This window comes from Homo sapiens, chromosome 18 (assembly GCF_000001405.40).
Source record: "Homo sapiens chromosome 18, GRCh38.p14 Primary Assembly".
Classification (NCBI taxonomy): domain Eukaryota; kingdom Metazoa; phylum Chordata; class Mammalia; order Primates; family Hominidae; genus Homo; species Homo sapiens.
Window position 1 is genome coordinate 48,940,462 of NC_000018.10, and position 20,614 is coordinate 48,961,075.

Genomic DNA, 20,614 nt, shown 5'->3' on the forward strand with positions numbered 1-20,614 from the left:
ACCCATCGGCCAGGCGCAGTGGCTCACACCTGTAATCTCAGCACTTGGGGAGGAAAGGGTGGGTGGATCATCCGAGGTCAGGAGTTCAAGACCAGCCTGGCCAACATGGCGAAACCCCATCTCTACTAAAAATACAAAAAATTAGCTGGGCACAGTGGTGGATGCCTGTAATCCCAGCTACTTGGGAGGCTGAGGCAGGAGAATTGCTTGAACCTGGGAGGTGGAGGTTGCAGTGAGCCGAAATCGGGCCACTGCACTCCAGCCTGGTGACAGAGCGAGACTCCGTCTGTGTGAGCCGAAATCGCGCCACTGCACTCCAGCCTGGGCGACAGAGCGAGACTTTGTCAAAAAAGAAAAAAAAAAAAAAGCCCACCCATCTCCTGAGGGCTTCACAGGTCACATGGCACGGGCGGGTGAGGAGGCACTCAGGCTGGTATCTCAGCCTGGTGTCGTCATTTCCTCCGGCAGGGGAGACAGACAAGATGTTATCAAGAAGACAAACCTTCCGAAAGGACCCTTTCAAAAGCTGCCACTTCCCTTGCTTATTTCATGTGGTTTGGAGGGGCCGGGGCTCCTCCCTGCACATTCAGGGTTTAAAAAATAAAACCATCTAACAACATCCTGAGCGTGTTATTCTGCTGAGACCCTTTCCTCTCATTGGCCTTCTTTCTTTCAAGAACTCTCTCAGCCTTAGAAAGCAGAAAAGATGCAGTTCACACACTGCTGCCTTTTCTCCCTCCTCAACTCCTCTGTCCACTCCCACCGTACTGCCTGAAGCCCCCTCCCTTCTCTAGGTCCCTCTTTTTCCTGCTCAATTCTCATTAGAAGCTTTGAGTAAACAATACCCTCAGTCTCAGATAACAGAGTATATATTGCATTGAAATGAAAACAAACAAGGGTCTCCCTAAAGACGTTCTCAGCAAGCTCAGTTCCTGAAGAGGAGAGCCGGGGAGGGAGCCGTCCGGGAATGAACTTTGCCTGAGCCAGCCATGGAAGACACACCACCAAGTAGTCAGAGCAGGTACCCCACAAAAAAGGGTGCCCCTCACACAAGAGGATACACCACAACAGGGCACAGCTTCTATTCGAGCTGCTACCACGTGATCCTACAGGCAAGGAAATGCCAAATGCCCAAAACTCTGCTGGAATTTCTGTTTTTAAGGTCGTTTTCCCTCTTGCTTCAGCCAGTTCTTAGAAAATCTAGTGATGACATGGTGGGGATGGAAAAACAGGTAGAAATAGGATTTCTTCAGAACAACATGAAATGCGTCCCATGTACATAACCAGTGAGTTTCTCTAAGTACTGCCCTCTTTTCGCATCCTCAGGAACAACAATGCTCTGGCTACCCCGTGCCTGTCAGCCAGCCCCGTGACCCCCCAGCACTGGCATTCCAGGCCTTCACGCATACCTGTGAGCCCTGAGGAAAACCTGCCCCGCTAGGGAACAATTACAGCTCCTACTGTTGGCAGTGCTCCCACCCTGGTGCTCCCAGCCCCAGACATGTGCTGCAAAATCCTGCAGCAGGCTGGGCTGGGAATCAGAACTTGGGAGGGAAGCCTCAGATCTACTCTGAAATCCCATCGTATGCTTGGGATCTGTCTTCAACAAGTTCCCTAAAGGTGGGTCCATTCCCTTTACATCCCCCATGCGCAAAGAGCAAAAGCAAAAAAAGAGCTCAAATGCATGAGTTAATGACACCAAAGTCACCAAGCTGAAGCCCCCCAAGCCAGGAGCTGCTTAAAAATAACCGGGCAACACTTCACACACCAAAGCAATCCCCAGCTCGCTCTTGTCTCCCCGTCCACGGAACGGATCCAGTGTCCAGAGCGTAAAGGACTGCAGGATGAGGAGCTGAAGGGCACCACAATGTCACCACCGATGCATCCAACTTAAGGCATATAAAAATGAGAATGAAGTCCAGACCAGCTGGGGTGGCAGAAGGCCACCCCCATTCCTCCAGTCTTTAGCAATTTCAAAAAAGGTTGGAATTGCCAGGAAAATAAGAGAAAGCATCTTACCTGAAAGCCCCCCAGGGGCCAGATAATTCGTTCCCCCTGTTTCAGCGGAGGAAGGCACAGCATCTGGACAGTCTGCTGTGGATTTGAAAAGGGGAGAGAAAGAAATAAATACACAAATAAAAACACCAAGATCCATCTTTAAGCACGCTCTAAACAGCATGAAAGACAAACCACACATTCCAAAAGGCTGACTCGCGGCCTTGATGCTGATTATTAATGGTCTGCTCAGGCTTCACTGCCCATCGTAAGACAGACCACAGCACCTTGTCACCCGTCTGGGCTCCGGGCAGCCAGTTAATCATTACTCGAGTCAGGCTCAATGAGACTGGCTGGAATTTCTCTTGCATTACCAGTCCCCCATTACGGATACCAGGTGGTTCCCAAGGTCAAAGGAGGTTTGGGTTGGACTTTCTCAACCCTGGTTGCTCTGTCATCCCTCATCAAGGGCAGAAGGCTCTCTCCTTGGAGCCCATGTCCTCTCTGCCTTCATCCTTTTAAAGACAGGTTTCCCAGTTCTTGAAAACATTCTCAAGATTGATGTTGGGCTGCCGGGACTTCTTTCCCCTTTTTTAATTGAGGACTAACTTAAGTAGAGCAAAGTATACAAAATCCCAAGTAGACGCAATGAATGTTACTCATGTATACATCTGTGTAACCACCACCAGATCAAGACAGAGAACATTCTCAGCAAGGCTCCGAGCCGGAGGGGAAATGTTCTACCTCTCCCAGGCTAGTCCAAACCCCTCATCTCTGGAAACCTTCCCAGGCAACCCCAGACCTGCTAAGGCTCTCTGCCCTCAGTTCCTATAAAACATTTGGCACCCAACACTCGGAGTTTCCTCACTGATTTTTACCTTTAGATTGCATCTGCCCTTAACTAGACTTCTCTTCAACTTCTGTCACCCTCAGGTACTCTGCACAGTGACCTCACCGTTAATGAGGATAATGACAATTCCAGCTGAGAAACAGTCTCCACAACCGCCCTCCAAGCAATTAAAGCAAAACCTAATGTCCATGAACCACAACTCATTAGTCCCATGAAACACAAATACACAAGACCCTGTAAGCTTGTCATGCACCACTGGCAGCGCCAAACTCCCTGAAGTCCTAGCGGAGAGCCCGGCTAAGGAAAGGTGCTGCCCAGGTCCGCAGCAAACACAACAGGTTGGATCGTGCAGACACCAGGCCTCCTACCCCAGGCCACCAGGACAATGTCCCTGTGGGTTTCCAGTTGGAACCACTTGGCCATGCTGGCAAATAGGAAAGCCAAAAAAAAAGAGCAGACGGGCAAGTAGCCCATGGGAATCCTTTAGTGGCCTACACATAGCCCCAAACCATCTCTGGGTTTCTGCTGTCTGCCCTCTTAATGCTAAGTTTCTCTCTCTAACTCAGGGTCACTCCCTCTCCCACATTCTCAAGGCTGGAAGGACAACTTTTCAAGAACTCTCCTAAGCGGGCGAGGGGCAGAAGTGGAGGCAGGCGTGGGGGTGAGGTGGCTGCGGTGGGTAGGGGGAAAGAAGACTGTGTGTGTAATCTCATTTTATCAGGGTAAAGTCTAATTCCTAACAGGAATATACAGTTTTACAGGATACACTTAATCAAACAGAAAACAATAGAGGCAGGCAGGAAATGGAGTTACTTGTTAAATGGTGTATACCCTGCACTTTCTAAACCATTTTGATGGCCTTCATCATTTTCTAGAGATAGGCTTCTCAACCCTCTCCTCCACCCACTCCTCCCAGATGGAAGACACCCCCACATTAAACATAATGACTTATCCACAGCCACTCCCCGCCACCTTTGGCTGGCAGAATCCCAGGGGCAAGGTGTGTTTCAAAGGAAAAGCCGGGCATCTCAGAGCAGAGCTGAGACCACATTCAGGGTGTCAGCCCATCTCAGATCAAAGGTAAGCCAGCTCCACACAGGCAACCACAAGCATTTTTGTGAAATGGTGCTCTGCCCTTCTGCAGTGGCTTTGATCTCAAGAGGGATTTACAAACGTTAATTAAGCCTCCCTACCACCCCTGTGAAGAAGCAAAGTATACCTGTTCCATAGGCAGCCAGGTAAACTGAGGCGTCACTGACTAGCTCAAAGGGCCACCCAGTGAGCTGGGCTATTCCCAAGAGTCCAGCCCTATCCCATGGCTCTCACTCCCCAGGCAGGCTATGGAGTCCCTACCCTCTTTCCTGGAGGTGGCCAGGCCATCCAGACTGGCCTCAAGGTTAAAGGAGCCATACCTCCATCTCTCACCCACAGAAAAGCTCCGCATAGACAGATCTCTGAAGTCAGGGTCTCACCTTAGGCCTGTGTCGCCTGTTCCCCAGAGCCCAGGCTGGCTGGCAGACAGAAGCTCTAGGCCACTCCTGACTCACGCAACACTAAGTGTTATCAAGCACTTGGTAAGCACTAGGTTCTGCGAGAGAAAAAGACTCATTCCTTTCTCCGAGCAGCTCCAACAGAGTCTTTGAAAACCCAACCCTGGGGAGCAGCCAAGGAGCGAACTATTGAGAATGAGTACAAGGTAAAGGAGCTGGGAGTCCCACGATAGTCTCAGCAACTGCGTTCTGAGCTTCCTAAGTACTGTTAAAGACAGAGGAGCCCCTACTCACCACTGTACCCCAAGGGTCCCAGCTCTGCCCCAGGTAGTTCAACCAACCCAGAACTCAAATGAACCCTGGTTATAAAAGAACACAGCACTGCCAGGTGCAGTGGCTCACGCCTGTAATCCCAGCACTTTGGGAAGCAGAGGTGGGCAGATCACACGAGGTCAGGAGATCGAGACCATCCTGGCTAACTCGGTGAAACCCCGTCTCTACTAAAAATACAAAAAATTAGCTGGGCATGGTGACGGGCACCTGTAGTCCCAGCTGCTCGGGAGGCTGAGGCAGGACAATGGTGTGAACCCAGGAGGTGGAGCTTGCAGTGAGCCGAGATCGGGCCACTGCACTCCAGCCTGGGCACAGAATGAGACTGTCTCGGAAAAAAAAAGAACACAGCACTGCATCGGAATCCTCAAATTTCTAGGTAGGCACATCATCATGCCTGTAAAATGAATGACTGAACCAATGAATGAATAAATGAATGAATGACCTAATCTCTTTCATCATGCTGATTTTAAAAGAGGCCTAGAAAAGTTAAGAGGGACCTCGGTTAAGAGAGAAACGCAGTGCCAGATCTCAGGTCAAGACACCAGACTTCCGATCTGGATTTGCAGGCTGGATCTGCCCATGGATACTGGCCACCTGGGTCCCTCAAGAGCTCACCCAGCAACCCCCCAAGGCCAGCCATTCCTCAAACCTTTCAGACCATCAGATACAATGAAACACGGGAAGCAGAGCCCACACAGCTATCCCCGAGATCCAGCTTTAAACAGCAAATTCTGACTTCTTGTGGGATGTGGAGGTGGGGGTGTCTTTCTGACTTCTGACAGCCACAAGTCACAACTGGCCTCCCCTAGGTTCAGTCATGTGAACACTCTTTCAAAGAAGGCTCTCCTGGTTGGACCACACAGTACCTAGGTGTCTAAAGTCCAGGCCTCCCAGATGCTGAGTGGAGTGGCTTAAATTATAGCAAAATGGAGTTCCTAGCTTTGAGCCCTCTGTGTCTCCAAAGGCTGCAGGGTACCAGGCCCCAGCCCCATTCCCACCACCTTTTCCTAAGATGGAGACTTCACAGGATGTATTCCTTTAGTTGTGCAACTGGTTAAGATTTTAACAGTTGTCCACTGTAAAACTTTGTGCCTGTTTCATCTAGTAACCCAAGACCAAAAATTCAACCTAAGGGACATAGAAACTGAAGAATGTAAATGGTCCATGTAGATTCCCGGGCCAAACATTCTCCCATACGCAAAATGGGGATGAAGACCTGGGTCAGCGCCCATCTGTGGTCTGACCTCAATGCCCCCGGCCACAGCAGCTGGCAAAACCAGCCCCAGACCTGTGAGGGGGGCGGGGGGGGTGTGCTCCAGCTCCAGACCTGGCTGTCCTCCAATGTGGCAGGACAATTCCCTTCGTGGGGGCTTTGTCTATTACTGATGCTAAATTCTTACACAGCAGCGCCTTTTCTCATTTCTTTTTTTGTTCTATTTTCAACAAAACGTTTTGGGTGAGTAACCAGCTGTCTTAGTTTCCGATTGGCAGGTTAATCACTTCCTATTGGCTGATCTGGAGAACTTTTCTCCCCCTTGGAAATGGCACATTCCTGTCTTTGTGGCTTCTCTGTTTACACACATTTTGCTACCTAATGTCAACACTTGCTAATGAATAAATATATCACTCCACTCACCGAAAATGAGGCCCTGGCCTGGCAGAATGACTGCTTAAATCCTGAGAACAGATTTATCCCAGTGTCTCTGCAGGAAACCCAAGGGAACATGGCCTTTCTTTTCTATGGTTTTTGGAGGTTTCTGGGAACATTTACCCCTGCTGGTCTTTATCCCTGGGGCTAAGGTCACTGTTCTCTCTCTTTTAAGGAAAACCTCCAAATTTGAAGAATATGGAAGGACAAAAAAAACAGGTCAGAGGTGGCCCCTTGGAAAATGAACTTCATAAAAGAATTCTTGATTCTTTAAGCCAAAACCCAGTCAAGTTACAGTCTTTAGGAAAACAGAGCTTGGTAATTCCAGTTAACGTTTGTTACAAATACAGAGAGCTGGGTATCTCCTTATTAATAACCATTTATCTGGTGTTTTGTAAATCGAAAGCAAAATATCACATGCTTTGCGGGCCACTTATTAGACCGGCACCAGGCAAGCAGGAACGCCTTCCCAACTTGAGGGAGCTGGTAGAGTCCCAGGAGGACTGGCTGCAGAGTATGGGCTTCGGTTACACGTTCATTAAAGTATTTAATTTATGACAACGCCCCAGCAAAACTTTTAATTAGTGGGGGGAAAGGCCCAACAGCCAAAACGCAGGAGGCGGAAGGACTTGCAGAATTCCAGGAGCTAAATGGTGCCCAACCCTTCACTTTTCCTTCTCCCAGAACCTTGGCAAAATAAAAATGTCCCAAGTATTAATGTTTTTTTCAGGCACCAGTATACAGGCACAAAAACCAAGGTTACATACAACCTGTACTTTTAGCAAACAGATCTATCTCCTACTGTAAGAGGGAGCTCCAGGAATTTGGGTTTGTCCTTGTTGTCACCCCCAAGTTCATTTTGCTGACCCTGTCCCCAGCACTGTGATGTCCAGAGGATGGACCCCTGTGCTGCTGCCGGCCAGAAGTTGAATGCAGACAACCACAACAGGGCTGGTGCCAGTCTCAAATGGGCTTCTGCCATGGCTTCATGCCAGCCAGTGACAAAGCAGCAGACAGGCAGAGCTATGCTTCAAACTTTGATAGTCCCTATGGCGAATACTGAGAAAACCCCGGGAGAGGACTGACTTGCAGGTGACTGGAGCAGGAGGAACCTACCCCCCCCCCCCTTTTACTGGCTGTTGCCTATACTTCTGAAAAGTTCTAGTGTCTACTCCAGACCAAAGTCTTCTTTGCACCTTTTTAAACCGTCTTCCCATCTATCGAATCACCCTTTCCATTATTCCCACTGATGCTCCTGGCACTCACTAAGTCTCCGAGTTATCCCCATCAACCAGTCCTATTTGGTTCCCAAGACACTTCTCTCTGGACTAAAGCTTCCACGTGTTAAAGCTGAGCCCACCGGCTACACAGCACAAATACATGAAAAAGGAACAAAATGTAAAGCATATCAAGGGAACGTCTTTGCAAAAACAGCAAAAAACCCAGCCACAACAGAAAAATTCACCAAACTTCCAACAGAGGAAACCTAGAACCAACGTGAAGCCCAGCACCTCCCCAAGCCTTTGCCTACACACAAAAAGCCACGTTCTAGAGGCTCTATTTCTAACTTAAGATAAGCAGGATATTTTAAAAATCATCTACTCACCAGTTGGTTTGAGAAAATCCATCGGGTATCTGGAGTAAGGAGGGGGGGGAGACTCTGAAATTAAAAAAGCAAGAGAAAATAAAGGCCCAGCCATGAGAAGAGAGATAGAAACTTATGATAACAGAGGCATTCTTTTAGCCCAACTGTTTGTCTTAGCTGTGGGGGTTGGAGGCAGGGCCGCGAGGCGGTGATTGCCTTGATATTTAGCTGTCAGATAAACAAAAGAGGCCGCCTGGCGCCAGCCTCGGCGCTCCGCTCCTCCACGTCTGCGGCCGCAGCCGCCGCGCTCGGCTGGCCCGGCTGGAAACCACCGGCTCGGCCGGAGCCGCGCACTTCACAGTTCACAGGGCGGGGGGCGACCATGCCCCCTCCCCGTCCTCGGACTCCAGACCCAGCTCCCAGCAACCTCGGCTCCCCGCCCCGGCCCGCCCCCCAGGCGTGCAATTCACCTCTGCCCCCGCCGGTCCGCTCGGCACTCGCGCGGGGGACACGGGGCTGCCCATTCCTAGCGCACTCGGGAGATGCATCCCAAGCGTGCTGGGGAACGTGGGGGATCTGCGGGCGCCCGGGGTGAACCCTCACATCACACTCTGTGTACAGAGACGTAGAGTAAAGGAAGGAATGGAGAAAGCTGAGAGGATAAAAGGAAAGGAGTTTCAGGGTCTCAGCCGAGAAGCCCAGGCCCCAGCGCAGTAAGAGGCGACAACGTCACTGAGGCGCCGGGGCCCCACTAATCTACAGACTTATCTGTGCGGAAGGAAGGAAAAAGTAGGGGACACCCAACTTCTCCTGCCTGTTTGTTCCTCTGCACCCTGGGGCTGGCAGAGTTGAAAGGAGACAGATACCCAGTTCGGCCTTCCATCCAACTCTCTTTGCCCCAAAACTCCAAAGGTGCGCGGCCACGACAGTATCTGGGCCACTGGTGTTCGACGTGATTCTCCGTATTTACTAAAGGAGTAAATACGGAGACCTTCCAGCCTTTATAGCACGCCTCTCCCAGCCTTCCTTGGCGGGCCTGGACCAAATCCAACTCGGCCACACACCTCAACGTCTTTCCGGGTGCGGGGAGGCGTGACCCCCCCACCTCCCTCTGCACCCCCTTGTTGATCCGGAAATGAAGGCGTCTAATTTTTAACCGCAGACTGCAGGAGCAGTGCCCGTAGACCCCTTCGGGGCAACACAGGAGAAAACCTGGAAGGGAACCCCCAGGGAATGCCCTTTGAGTTTCCCCTTGTCCCTTCTCTACTTTCAGCCCCCAGTCTCTTCCCAGGAGGGTATGCACACTCTCCCAGGAGGGTATGCACACTCTCCCAGGAGGGTATGCACACTCCCCCTGGAGGGATGGCTGCACAAACGCACTGCCCTAGGGGCTTTTCTTCCAGCACTGGCGCTCCGGAAAATGTTGGGGGTAGGGGGACAACTTCTCACCTAGTTCGCAGAGTCGGCTAAGGTGATGGGGGTTGCAGCACACCAGCTCGGGGTTGATCTTCCCGTAAGATTCACAGCAACACAGCCTCTTGACTTCCGAGGAATGCCTGAGATCCGGCCACCTGAACACTTTGCACAGCAGGAGGGGGAGCGAGTAGGACGAGGGCGGCTGCGCAGGCTGCGCGCCGGCGGGCGCCCCCGGGCCCAGCCTGCAGTCCAGGCGGCCGGGCAGCAGGAGGCACGCGGTGCGCGTCCCGCCGCGGGACTCCACGGCCTGGAGCAGCAGCTCCAGCTGCCGCTCCTTCAGTTTCTTGAGCACCGAGTGCGTGAGCGCCTTCAGATCCGCCTCGGCGCCCCCGGCCGCGCCGGCGCCCGCGGCTGGCGGGTGGGGATGGTGGTGACCTTTGGCACCTCGCACCGCCTTGCCCAGGCAGCATCCAGCCCTGCCCGGGCCGCCGCCACCGGCCCCATGCGCTCGGCTGTCCGTCGCCCCTTCTCCCCGCAGCTCGCCTCCTCCTCCACCTCCCCCTGCGCCCTCCTCCTCGTCCTCGCCGCCGGGCGCACGGCTCCTCCAGAGACGCCGGACGAGCGCAGATCGTTTGGTCCTGAACATGCGGGGCGAGGAGGCGAGGAGAAAAGTCGTTTGCCTGCTAAGGAGCGAACATGACCTCCGCACACCATGAAGAAGTCGGGCGCCGAGTTGGGGCAGCAGGCGCAGGCGACAGCAGCAGCAGCAGGGGCCCGGGCAGGAGCGGCGGCGGCCCGAGGGGCGCTCCGTGGCATGCGCCAGTCTCCCGGAGGCCGGGGCGCGCGCGGGGGCCCGGGGGCGCCCGCCGGGGATCGGGGGCCTGCGCTCCGGCTGCCCCACCCCGCGCGGCCCGCGCCCTGCGCGGCTCTCCGGCCCCGGCGCGCCCCGGAGGAACCCGGCCGCCGCTTCCCTGGGGACGGCCGAGCCTGCCCCCGTCGGCGCCTCCCCAAAAAGAGGCCCCCCCGCAGTGGCTCCCGAATGTCGGGCTCGCCAGCCTCGGCTTCCTACATGGAAGGTCCGCGGGGGCAAAAAACGAAAGGCGTTCGGCTGGGCTGTTGGAAGAAGGAAAAAGCCTCTTTCCCCCTTGCTAAGCAACTTAATTTGGGGGTGGGGAGAAGCAGGCAATTAAAAAAAAAAAAGCAAGCGATTTATTTTTTTCCTCTATATCCTTAGTAACCGGATCTCCTCGAATTCCGCGCACACGAAGACTCAGGGGAGGGGGCCGAGTGGACTTCACCCCGCATGAGACGTCTGGCAAAATAAGAAGGCTCTCGCAAAACCTAACAACCAAATATGCAAAGCCCCAAATGAAAACCACCACCTCCTCGAACCTCAGAGGTCTGGGGGCGTCCGGCTGGAACTGGGGTTTAAAAAAAGAAAATGTTTACAAAGTATAACAAGATGTTTGATGGGTGGAAAAATGTATCCACGAGTTACATCCCCCCGTTTCCTTGCAAAGCCCCGCTGGTCTTCCTCTCCTTTTCTTCTGCCAAAAAAAAAAAAAAAAATCGTGTATTTTTTTAATCCACAGAAAGCTTTGGCTAGACCGCTTCAATCCTGCGCATCTGGGTGGTTTAGGGGAGTCTCTGGTCTTTCCCCCTGCGCTCCTGGGGGCCCAGGTCCTCGGCGGGGACTTCCTCGAGGCTGGCGCGGGCGCAGGGGCAGAAGATGCTGCGGCGGCGGCTGAGCCCGGCGGGGCTGACAGCGCGGGGGAGGGTGGCGCGGCGGCGGCGGAGGGCCCCAGACGGGTCGCGCGTTCTCGCCCCCCCCGGGCACAAGCTGCTTGCTAGTGCAGGGGCCGCCGATGTCCCTTCCCCTGGCCGCGGCTGGCCGCCGAGGCTCCCCGCATGGGCTGCTCGCCTCGACCCAGCTGCGGCGGCAGGAGGCCCCGGTGTCCTCTCGGCGCCTCCTCCTCCGAGACTCTCCTCGTCGCGCCCGGGAGCCTCCTTGTCCCCGGTCCGCCCTCTCCTGGCGCTCCGGTCCTTCTGCCGCCGCCAGGGGCTCGCCGCGCCGCACTCAGGGGCTCAGGGGCCGGGCGCTCGGCGGCTCGGCGCCGACGGACTGGCTCTGTCTCGGGCAGCTCTCTCCCGCGCGGCGAGCGGACCGAGCACGGCGCCCGGCTGGCTCGGCTGGCGCGGCTCGGGGACAGGATCTTCCGTGCGCCGAGCAGCAAGCGAGTGTGCCCGGGGCTCACCGCCTCCCGCAAGGCCTCCCGCCCCCGCCCCCTTCCCTCCCCCTTCCTCCCCCTTCCCTCCCCCGCCCCCAGCCGCCGCAGCCGCGCCGCCTCCTCCCCGCCCCCCCGCACCCCCCCTCCGGCCCTCTGCTCGGCTGGTTCCACTGCGCAGTGGCGCGCCCGGCTCCGGCCTCGTCACGTGGCCGTCTAGACACCCTGTCGCTTTAAAAAAAAAAAAAAAGCGATTGTGTTTCGCAAACAACAGATCGGGTTTCTAAAAGCTATTTCTCCCCCCAACCCCCCGCCACCGCCACCCCCTCCCGGGTCTGTAGAGGGGGTACCGATGGAGGGGAGAGAGATAGGTGGGGGGCAGAGAAGCTCCCAGAATGGATTGAGCCCCGGCCGGAGCCATGGAGAAATTGGAAAAGCAGGGAGCACCGAGCGGGCTTCGCCGCGAGTTTTGGAGCTGAGCGAGCGGGTCGGTGGCCCGATTTCGACCCGGCTGGGTTTCGCGGTGGCCATCTCGCGCGCGCTCGCCCTAGCGCTTCATTCATTGGTTTTGTTTTAAAGGCCCTGGCGGTGGATCCCTTGGCCGCGCCCGAGGGCAAGGGGAGGAGAGCGCTGTCTCGGTTTAAAAGACATTTATACCGGACTGGACCGAGGCCCTGGGAAGTGTGCGCTGAGGGGAACAGCCGCCGAGGGCGGGGAGGCGGCGTGAATATGACCTCAGCGGCGGCCGCGCGCTCCCTCCCGCCCTCTCAGCTCCGGGCTCCGGTTTCTAGGACTGCCTGGAGAAGTGTGTCTTGTGCACAGCTCTGGAATGCATTTGGCCGGCTGACGAGCTGTGAGGGGCAGCATCCCGGCGGGAGAAGGGGAGCGGGGGTGGGGGCTCGCCTGCGCGCCGCGGGCAGGTTTCCTCCCGGGCCCGGAAGACCTCCGCCACCCGCCACCCTGCCTCCCGGCGCGGGAAGGTTACCCAGCGAGCAGACCTGCCTAGGGCATTCATTTGCATGCAGGCCCTGTTTCTGGGCCTCGTAGCTTTCAAGGTGCTTAGAGTCAGAGAGTTTATTCCTTGACCCCAGGTCCCGAAGAAACATATACCCAAGCTGGCGGGTTACTGCATAGAAACGGGCATGGCATTGCTAGGGCATAAACGCATTTACAGCGTGAAAGCTGATGGCTCCGAGAAACGTAATGATTTAAATACACACACATCAGTATTGATGAGGCCACTAGTTGGCATGGTGATCTAACCTCACTTCATATTCAGTGAAATACGATTTTTTTAAAAAGCCATTGAGAATTGTGAGATCAGGCCAGCAGTGAAACTCGTTGGGGGCTTTAAAGAATCTTTTTTTCTTTCTTTCTTTCTTTTTTTTTTTTTTTTTAGAGTCTCACTCTTCACCCGGGCTAGAGTCCAGTGGCTCGATTTCGGCTCACTGCAGCCTCTGCCTCCCCAGATCAAACGATTCTCCCACCTCAGCCTCCGGAGTAGCTGGGACTACAGGCGCGCGCCACCACATCTGGCTAATTTTTGTATTTTTTGGTAGTGACGCGGTTTAACCATGTTGGCCAGGCTGATGTGGAACTCCTGACCTCAAGTGATCTACCTGCCTCAGCCTCTCAAAGTACTGGGAGTACAGGCGTGAGCCACTGCACCTGGCCTTAAAATAATCTTTAGAAAAGGTGAAATGTGCCCAGGTGCGATGGCTCACGCTTGTAATCCCAGCACTTTGGGAGGCTGAGGCAGGTGGATCACCTGAGGTCAAGAGTTTGAGACCAGCCTGGCCAACATGGTGAAACCCGTCTCTACTAAAAATACAAAAATTAGCCAGGCGGGTGGCGCGCGCCAGTAATCCCAGCTGAGACAGGAGAATTGCTTGAACCCGGGAGACGGAGGTTGCAGTGAGCTGAGATCGCGCCACTGCACTCCATCCTGGGCAACAGAGTGAGACTCTGTCTCAAAAAAAGAAAAGAAAAAAAGAAAAGTAAAGATGAAATGTACATCTTGCCGGCTAAATTATATGTTCTTAAAAGGAAAAGGCAGGAATGAATCTTAGCCGCCTTTAGAGCTCAAGTCCTCTCCCCCTCTAGCAATTAAAAAGATTTCTAACATATTAGTACAATAGTAGATGCTTAATAAATATTTAGAAATCAACACTTAGGGCTTAAGGGGCATTTGGACCCTTCCTCCACCCCACCAAAAGTACCTTTGGTAATATAAATTCAAGAGGAAATCAGCAACATTGCTTACATGATCATTTCCAGGCAAGGAGATCCTAACACTTATTGACTTGGAAGATAGTAGGATGCCAAGCAGTGCAGAACCCTACTGGACGGACAGAAGCTGCCATTCTGAACATTTACTGTGTAAGGCCACATAAGCTGCAGTTGTATAACATCATAATTTTGTTGTAAATTAAAATATGGCTTGTATAAAAGGGCATTGAAACCTTGTGTGTGTATTAAAAAAACATTCTAAGAAGCAACCTGTGAAGACAGCAGCTGAGAAAGCACAGGAGAGAATGGAGAAGGAGTGTAATCCCAGCACTTTGGGAGGCCTATCATGATAGGCAAGGGAAGACGAAAGAGACAGAAGTGGGATTTTTTTTTTTTTTTTTTTTTTTGAGATGGAGCCTTGCTTTGTCACCCAGCCTAGAGGGCAGTGGCATGATCTCAGCTCACTGCAACCTCCGCCTCCTGGGTTCAAGCAATTCTCCTGCCTCAGCCTCCCTAGTAGCTGGAACTACACGTGCACTCCACACCTCGCTAATTTTTTTGTATTTTAGCAGAGACAAGGTTTCACCGTGTTGCCCAGGCTAGTCTCGAACTCCTGAGCTCAGGCGATCCACCCGCCTCAGCCTCCCAAAGTGTGGGATAACAGGCATGAGCCACAGCGCCCGGCCCAGAAATGGGATTTTTAAGGTGTCTGGGAAATGTATCATATTTTCACCTTAGAAAGGCTTAGAAAGAGTACCAGACTAGAGGTCAGAAAACCTGATTCCAGGCTGGGGCGTTGCCGCTCACTGGTTAAGCAACTAGGGCCAACAGCAATCCCCACGTTAGGCGAGCACTTGGCAGAGTTTATAAGATTTTCTGGGCAAGTTTCCGCTCTCTAGGGTCCCATTCCCTCTCTGTTCTGGATCTCCCTAAAAGATCTTCACTTATTGAGAGTGGTCAGACCAGGCTTCATAGCAACAGAAAGGACTTAAATAAGCAGAGAAAGTAGAGGTCATAATTCTAATTCAGTTTCTTGGCTAAATGGAGAATCTGAAGAATCTTTTGGAGATCTGGCCAGTAGTGCTAAGGCTCTGTAATGAGAGGCCGGAGCACACACAGGGCAGGTAGGTTTCATGGGTGTTTCAAGAGTGGAGTCTGACGTCACGGTTTGTCTGGGTGGAACATGCATGTACTTGCAGAGATATGTTCCCGTATAGTGTAATTGTAGGTGTATTAATTCAGGTGTCACCCCTCTCTACACGGCTTTCCTCTTCCATTTTGCTACCCTAGGTAGAAGCTGGGTGCGGTGCTGAGCAAGTAGCTACAATGATTGGTGCTGCTTTATAGCTCCCTGGCATCCCCTGAATCAGTTAACATCCCAGCTTTCCTGATAGCCCCACCCCATCACATTCTTATCCCTCTCCTCTCCAAGAAAGAAGCCAGAAGCCTGGCAGTAGAGGAATTCCCAGCAGGCTGGTGTGCCTAGAAAGGTAGTTTCTTTCTTTCCCTTCCACAGGCACAAAGGAGGCCAACAAACACGCAGTTTCAGACTATTCTGACCCTTAAGAAAAAAGTTTAAGAGTTCACCAAACTATTGTGAATGAGTTTGATTCTAATCATTTGCTGGCAGGGAATATGGAATAAAATAGCTCATTTGCAGTTGTTTATTTCCTGTTGTGGCTTCTATTTTCATCTTTTAGTCGCTTTGGTGATAGTAATCAAACCCTAATCATGGTGCCGCCACAAGTCACAGAGACCAAAATAACTTGCAGCAGAGTTATGACAAACAAGGATGGAATCAGCTAAAGACCTGGCTACTTAATCACCGGCCACTGCCGCCCAGAGGACTGTGGGGCTGCCTCTTGACCGGCTGCTGGCTAGGAATCTAGAGGAGAGAGGAAGTCGAGGGAAGTTGCTCCAAGGCCCATGTTTTCTGAGCAGCCAGGGAAGGCAGTAGAGTGCACAGGAAGTGACCGAAAAAGCAGGTGAATTCTCCACACCTGCCAAGGGGAGAGGCAGGCTTCTGGAGGGGCCTGACTTGAGAGAGAAAGAGGAGGGGAAAAAAATCTCCAAAACTCTTGACACCTCAAAACAATGATAAGTAAAAGCTGAAAAGTGCCTGTCTAGAGAAGACAGGATTCTGCCTTTCAGTTCTTTGCTCATTGTCAGTGGATTCCAGAAGAGAAGGGCAGAGAGAGGCCCCAAAGCATGTATGGATGTGTGTTGATGGGAGTGAGGACAGGGGTAAAGATTTTTTTCTTGCACAAGCCAAAAGAAGAAACCATTGAGGAGACCAAAAAAGTACTGGAAAACATCAACATTTCTTGCACAATCATCCCCTGAAAAATGTGTGAGTGAGCCCTAAACCATGCACAACTGGCAACAATACAAATGGAAGTGATGGCTTATGAAAAGAAGACAGTACAAGGAAGGCTGATGGGACAATCAACGCTTCTTGGCTTCTCTTGGAAGAACAGGAACATAAGTGAATGAAAATGCATCTAATTCACTATCAAACAAAAATACTATAAGCCCGGACTCCACAAATATTCTTGGATTACAGACAAGCTGTCAGCTGATCCCCAACATTTGCCAGGTGCCTATCCAGAGCATGCAACTAGGTATCAGGGATTGGAATGGGGGCAGGATGAAATGAATGTTGCTATGGAGGAGATGAGAAACATCCAGAAAAGGTAAAGAGTGAGGACAATAGAGACATTCAAATCTACAGTCACATTTAGATGCCGTTTCCTCCAAGGAGGGCCCCTGGACAGCTGAAGAACAGAACTGGGAGGGGAATTTTACTCTGTATAATTTTGTACCTTTTGAATTGTGAACCGTGTGAATGTGTTACTTATTCAAAAATAAACAGATTTAAATTGTTTTCAAATCTCTGCTTGCTTTTCTCATTTCCTGAAATTCGTTGTTCTGATGTCCTTGTAGAAAAGGACAAGTTGGCAAGGTCCCACGTGGAAATGATGCTATAGACAGCTTCTCTCTCTGTGAGGCAGTTGCTACAGGAAGAGGCTGGTAACAACAGAGGCCAATGTCTCATCCCAGACAGCAAGGGTGGAGGCTGCTTCGTCATGAGCCTGGCCAGAGTCAGCGAGGAAACATGCCCATCCTAATCAAAAGTCATTCCAGATATCAGTCAGGTGCAAGTCCTAACCTGGGATGGACAGCCTAATAAATACTGCTGTCAGGGCCGGGCGCAGTGGCTCACGCCTGTAATCCCAGGACTTTGGGAGGCCAAGGCGGGCAGATCACTTGAGGTCAGGAGTTTGAGACCAGCCTGGCCAACATGGTGAAACTCCATTTCTACTAAAAATACAAAAAAATTAGCCAGGCGTGGTGGCATGCTCCTGTAATCCCAGCTACTTGGGAGGCTGAGGCAGGAGAATCACTTGAACCCAGGAGGCCGAGGGTGCAGTGAGCTGAGATCACCACACTGCACTCTAGCCTGGGCGACAGAGTGAGACTCCATCTCAAAAAAAAAAAGATAAATACGGCTGTCAGGATGACACAGGCACAGGAAGGAGCCTGCCCAATCTGAGAAAATGAGAGCTTTGCTTTTTGGAACAGAAACGTGTTCACATGATTTTCAATTCATTTAGCCAGCACTGATTCAGAGCTGATTGGAGTCAGGATCCAGGAGAGACCTCTGAGGGTTATAAATGTGAGGATTAATCAGCCTTTGCCCTCAAGAAGTCCACAGTCTAGGAGAGCCACAAACTCTCATGAAATGGGATCAGTGTTACCCCAGCAGCAAGAATGGAGGCACTGGCTCTAAGAACAGAAAGTCAAGGGACTCATTCTGTCTGGGAGAGGCCTCAAAAGGTTTCCCAAAGGAAGAAATATTTTAGACTAGATTAGCTGAGTTGACTAGCCAGGCAAAGGTGATCAGAGTCCTAATTGTCCTATCAAAAAGAAAAAAAAAAAAGAAAGGATTACAAATATGAGCCACCACACCTGGAACAATGCCTGGTGTGATGGCTCACGCCTGTAATCCCAGCACTTTGGACAGCTGAGGTGGGAGGACTGCCTGAGCCCAGGAGTTGGAGACCAGCCTGGGCAACATAGTGGGAACTCGTCCCTACAAAAAATACAAAAATTATGGCCAAGCGTGGTGGCTCACGCCTGTAATCCCAGCACTTTGGGAGGCTGAGGCAGGTGGATCACCTGAGGTCAAGAGTTCGAGACCAGCCTGACCAACATGGTGAAACCCTGTCTCTACTAAATATACAAAAATTAGCTGGGCGTGGTGGCTGGCACCTGTAATTCCAGCTACTCAGGAGGCTGAGGCAGGAGAATCGCTTGAACCCGGGAGGCAGAGGTTGCAGTGAGCCCAGACTGCGCCACTGCACTCCAGCCTGGGTGACAGAGAGAGATTCTATCTCAATAATAATAATAATAATAATAATAATAATAATACAAAAATTAGCTGGGGGTGGTGGTGCGTGCCTGTAGTCCCAGCTACTCTGGAGGCTGAGGTGGGAGGATCACTTGAGACCCTGAGGTAGAGGCTGCAGTGAGCTAAGACTGCACCACTGCTCTCCAGCCTAAGTGACAGAAAAAAAAGGAACGAAATTTTGTTTTCTTTGAGCTAACTTTTCAATACCCAAGCCACACTTATCACTTAAGTGTATAACTTTATAAACACTCCCAAGCCATAGGAAGTCAGTGATGAAAGTGAGGTCCCTGCAGTGGGTGGTCTGGGAGGGCATCTCCCTCAGAAGGCAGTTTTCTCTGTAGAAAACATTGGAGGAAAAACACTAGATCGTCTACGGTTACAGAGAAGTTTCTCCTCAAATAACTATAGAGATCGCCACGATCTCCACCCCTCAGATCAAGAGCAGGCCTTACTTGAGTCAAACTGGTTCATGTTAGGAAGTTGTGCCAGTTTTAAGACAAGTGGAAGGGAAGTACCCTCAGCAGGGAAGTTGGCTGAGATGCCTCAGTAATGGGGGTACTTAAATAATGCTCTCAAATGCCAACAACAAAAAATTATTATTTGCCATTATCGTATAGACGGTGAGACATACAGTTGGCTGATCCCTACAGGTACTAAAAAATTGATTTTAAAGACAGCAAAGCAAGGAAATCAGTGTTGAGCCTAACCCAGATGGACCCTGATGGGTCCTGGTGTTATTTCTCACTGGCCATGTTGCAGACAAGTTCTTCATTCCAGCTTCCAGCCACTCAACTGGGCAGCTCCAAGTTCCTGGTCACATTGGGCTACCAAATTATCCTTTTCTGTTTTCTGATTTTTTTCCTATTTTTATCTTTCCCATTCCTCTGCCAAAAGTCCTTAATGGGTCACTTAAGTGCTGAATTCTGCCTAGTAAGTGCTGGTTAGGATCTGAGCTATGAGACATGCTGGTAATCGTGATTCAGAACAGAAAGCCTGCGGAGGGGTGAATGATGTTTTATCTGTAGTAGGGAATTGGGACTAGAGCAAAGGGGTCATACAGGTGACCGCACATGCTGCCCCTGGCACGTGCTGGGACCCACCGAAGGAGTGAGGGCCAAGGCATCTTGCTCATTCTCCCAACGCAGACCTAGGAGAATAGAAAGGCCCTCAGCTCGGCTTTAGGATTCAATAGACTTTTCTGCCATTGCTAGCTATAAGACCTTAGGGAAGTCTGTTTCCAGTCTGTCTACCTTCCTCATACAACAAACACTGAATTAACAATGTCTTGTGTCTTCTGTGTGCCAGACTCAGCGTGAGGCTCCAAGAACAAAGTCCTCACGGTGGGGTTGCTGGGAGGAGACGTTCACACCACAAGAGCCCCAGTGCTATGTAAACCAAGTGGTATACAGATGCTAATTATCATATTATCATGGATTCTGAGGTCCTAGCTGCCCAATAAGCACATTTTGCCTAATCTTCCGTGCCTAGGAAATGAATTTTTAGAGGAGATAATTGTCCAAGTGATAGGGTAATGAAGAAGGAAGCTACTTTTTCTAGTGGCTGGGATTTTGTTTGTGTGGGGGTTTTTTGTTTTCAGTTTTTTGAGACAGAGTCTCGCTCTGTCACGCAGGCTGGAGTGCTGTGGCAGGATCGTGACTCACCGCAACCTCCGCCTCCCAGATTCAAGCGATTCTCCTGCCTCAGCCTCCTGAGTGGCTGGGATTACAGTGTGCACCACCACACTTGGCTAATTTTTGTATTTTTAGTAGAAACGGGGTTTCACCATGCTGGTCAAGTTGGTCTCGAACCTCAAGTGACCTCAAGTGATCCGCCCGCCTCGGTCTCCCAAAGTGATGGGATTACAGCCATGAGCCACCATGCCCGGCCCCTTGTGTGGGTTTTATAAGGACCAGTTAGAACTCTGTCAAAGAGGTAAGGCTAGCGTCTGAGTTTAAAAACAAACAAATAAACCTAGGGAAATCTTTTCCCTGTTGGAATAAGAGAGGGATAAGTGAGGAAACAATGTAAGTGTTTTTAGTTCTTTTCTAGTACTACTATGAGTCATACATATTTTCCTGTGTCCTGGAGATATCTCCCCTGGTAATTATGAGATACAAGGAGGAAGTGAAGAGGGATTCATTTTCATGGAGAGGAGTTACCCAGTGGGCAGGATTCTGCTGTGCCCAATTTAGTTTTGATCCCCCTCTATCCCATAAACATTTCTTTTGAAGGCTTTCAAAGTTGGGGGAAGATGATGTTATTTAGCATTGTTAGAGTCTGGTAGACCATAAAGGAAAAATCTGGAGAAATGCAGTAAAATGAGGTTCAAGCCAGAAGGGATTATAAACGTTACATAGCCCAGAGAGTCTCCATCTTCAGTCCATCTTATTTGGTACTTTTTCTTTGCTTTTTCTATTTTATTGATTTTTGAA

The 20,614-nt window shown here is 51.4% G+C and overlaps 1 protein-coding gene across 5 annotated transcripts in view, besides 12 other annotated features; it reads right to left on the bottom strand.

Annotated features, from left to right (window-relative positions):
- Positions 1–10,504, bottom strand: part of SMAD7 (SMAD family member 7) — a 31,113-nt gene extending 20,609 nt beyond the window's left edge. The window contains exons 1-3 of one of the 5 annotated variants that reach the window (NM_001190821.2): positions 9,351–10,504; positions 7,923–7,976; positions 2,020–2,091 (exon numbers count right to left, since the gene is read on the bottom strand). In NM_001190821.2, the coding sequence (NP_001177750.1) occupies positions 2,020–2,091; positions 7,923–7,976; positions 9,351–9,963 (739 nt within the window). In that variant the 5' untranslated portion in view covers positions 9,964–10,504. Of the gene's footprint in view, positions 1–2,019; positions 2,347–7,922; positions 7,977–8,767; positions 8,873–9,350 lie in introns of those variants that run through there. The other 4 variants (NM_005904.4, XM_047437509.1, NM_001190822.2 and 1 more) reach the window with 4 other exon arrangements.
- Positions 990–1,947: an enhancer, noted in NCBI's record as "H3K4me1 hESC enhancer chr18:46467821-46468778 (GRCh37/hg19 assembly coordinates)". NCBI's record gives its function as "activates a minimal SCP1, AML or CMV promoter by ChIP-STARR-seq in naive H9 embryonic stem cells {active_cell/tissue: H9 hESC(naive)}" and the evidence as "EXISTENCE:reporter gene assay evidence [ECO:0000049][PMID:30033119]".
- Positions 990–2,631: a biological region, named in NCBI's record as "P300/CBP strongly-dependent group 1 enhancer GRCh37_chr18:46468263-46469462".
- Positions 1,432–2,631: an enhancer, noted in NCBI's record as "P300/CBP strongly-dependent group 1 enhancer chr18:46468263-46469462 (GRCh37/hg19 assembly coordinates)". NCBI's record gives its function as "activates an origin of replication core promoter dependent on BRD2, BRD4, P300/CBP, MED14 and CDK7 cofactors, with strong dependence on P300/CBP, by STARR-seq in HCT116 cells {active_cell/tissue: HCT116}" and the evidence as "EXISTENCE:reporter gene assay evidence [ECO:0000049][PMID:35650434]".
- Positions 7,834–8,335: an enhancer, noted in NCBI's record as "NANOG hESC enhancer chr18:46474665-46475166 (GRCh37/hg19 assembly coordinates)". NCBI's record gives its function as "activates a minimal SCP1, AML or CMV promoter by ChIP-STARR-seq in naive and primed H9 embryonic stem cells {active_cell/tissue: H9 hESC(naive and primed)}" and the evidence as "EXISTENCE:reporter gene assay evidence [ECO:0000049][PMID:30033119]".
- Positions 7,834–8,401: a biological region, named in NCBI's record as "NANOG hESC enhancer GRCh37_chr18:46474665-46475166".
- Positions 8,202–8,401: a silencer, noted in NCBI's record as "silent region_9438". NCBI's record gives its function as "represses an Ori minimal core promoter by ATAC-STARR-seq in GM12878 lymphoblastoid cells {active_cell/tissue: GM12878}" and the evidence as "EXISTENCE:reporter gene assay evidence [ECO:0000049][PMID:35858748]".
- Positions 9,442–9,761: a silencer, noted in NCBI's record as "silent region_9439". NCBI's record gives its function as "represses an Ori minimal core promoter by ATAC-STARR-seq in GM12878 lymphoblastoid cells {active_cell/tissue: GM12878}" and the evidence as "EXISTENCE:reporter gene assay evidence [ECO:0000049][PMID:35858748]".
- Positions 10,978–11,677: a silencer, noted in NCBI's record as "silent region_9440". NCBI's record gives its function as "represses an Ori minimal core promoter by ATAC-STARR-seq in GM12878 lymphoblastoid cells {active_cell/tissue: GM12878}" and the evidence as "EXISTENCE:reporter gene assay evidence [ECO:0000049][PMID:35858748]".
- Positions 12,248–12,587: a silencer, noted in NCBI's record as "silent region_9441". NCBI's record gives its function as "represses an Ori minimal core promoter by ATAC-STARR-seq in GM12878 lymphoblastoid cells {active_cell/tissue: GM12878}" and the evidence as "EXISTENCE:reporter gene assay evidence [ECO:0000049][PMID:35858748]".
- Positions 18,164–18,957: an enhancer, noted in NCBI's record as "NANOG-H3K27ac hESC enhancer chr18:46484995-46485788 (GRCh37/hg19 assembly coordinates)". NCBI's record gives its function as "activates a minimal SCP1, AML or CMV promoter by ChIP-STARR-seq in naive H9 embryonic stem cells {active_cell/tissue: H9 hESC(naive)}" and the evidence as "EXISTENCE:reporter gene assay evidence [ECO:0000049][PMID:30033119]".
- Positions 18,958–19,751: an enhancer, noted in NCBI's record as "OCT4-NANOG-H3K27ac-H3K4me1 hESC enhancer chr18:46485789-46486582 (GRCh37/hg19 assembly coordinates)". NCBI's record gives its function as "activates a minimal SCP1, AML or CMV promoter by ChIP-STARR-seq in naive and primed H9 embryonic stem cells {active_cell/tissue: H9 hESC(naive and primed)}" and the evidence as "EXISTENCE:reporter gene assay evidence [ECO:0000049][PMID:30033119]".
- Positions 19,752–20,545: an enhancer, noted in NCBI's record as "OCT4-NANOG-H3K27ac-H3K4me1 hESC enhancer chr18:46486583-46487376 (GRCh37/hg19 assembly coordinates)". NCBI's record gives its function as "activates a minimal SCP1, AML or CMV promoter by ChIP-STARR-seq in naive H9 embryonic stem cells {active_cell/tissue: H9 hESC(naive)}" and the evidence as "EXISTENCE:reporter gene assay evidence [ECO:0000049][PMID:30033119]".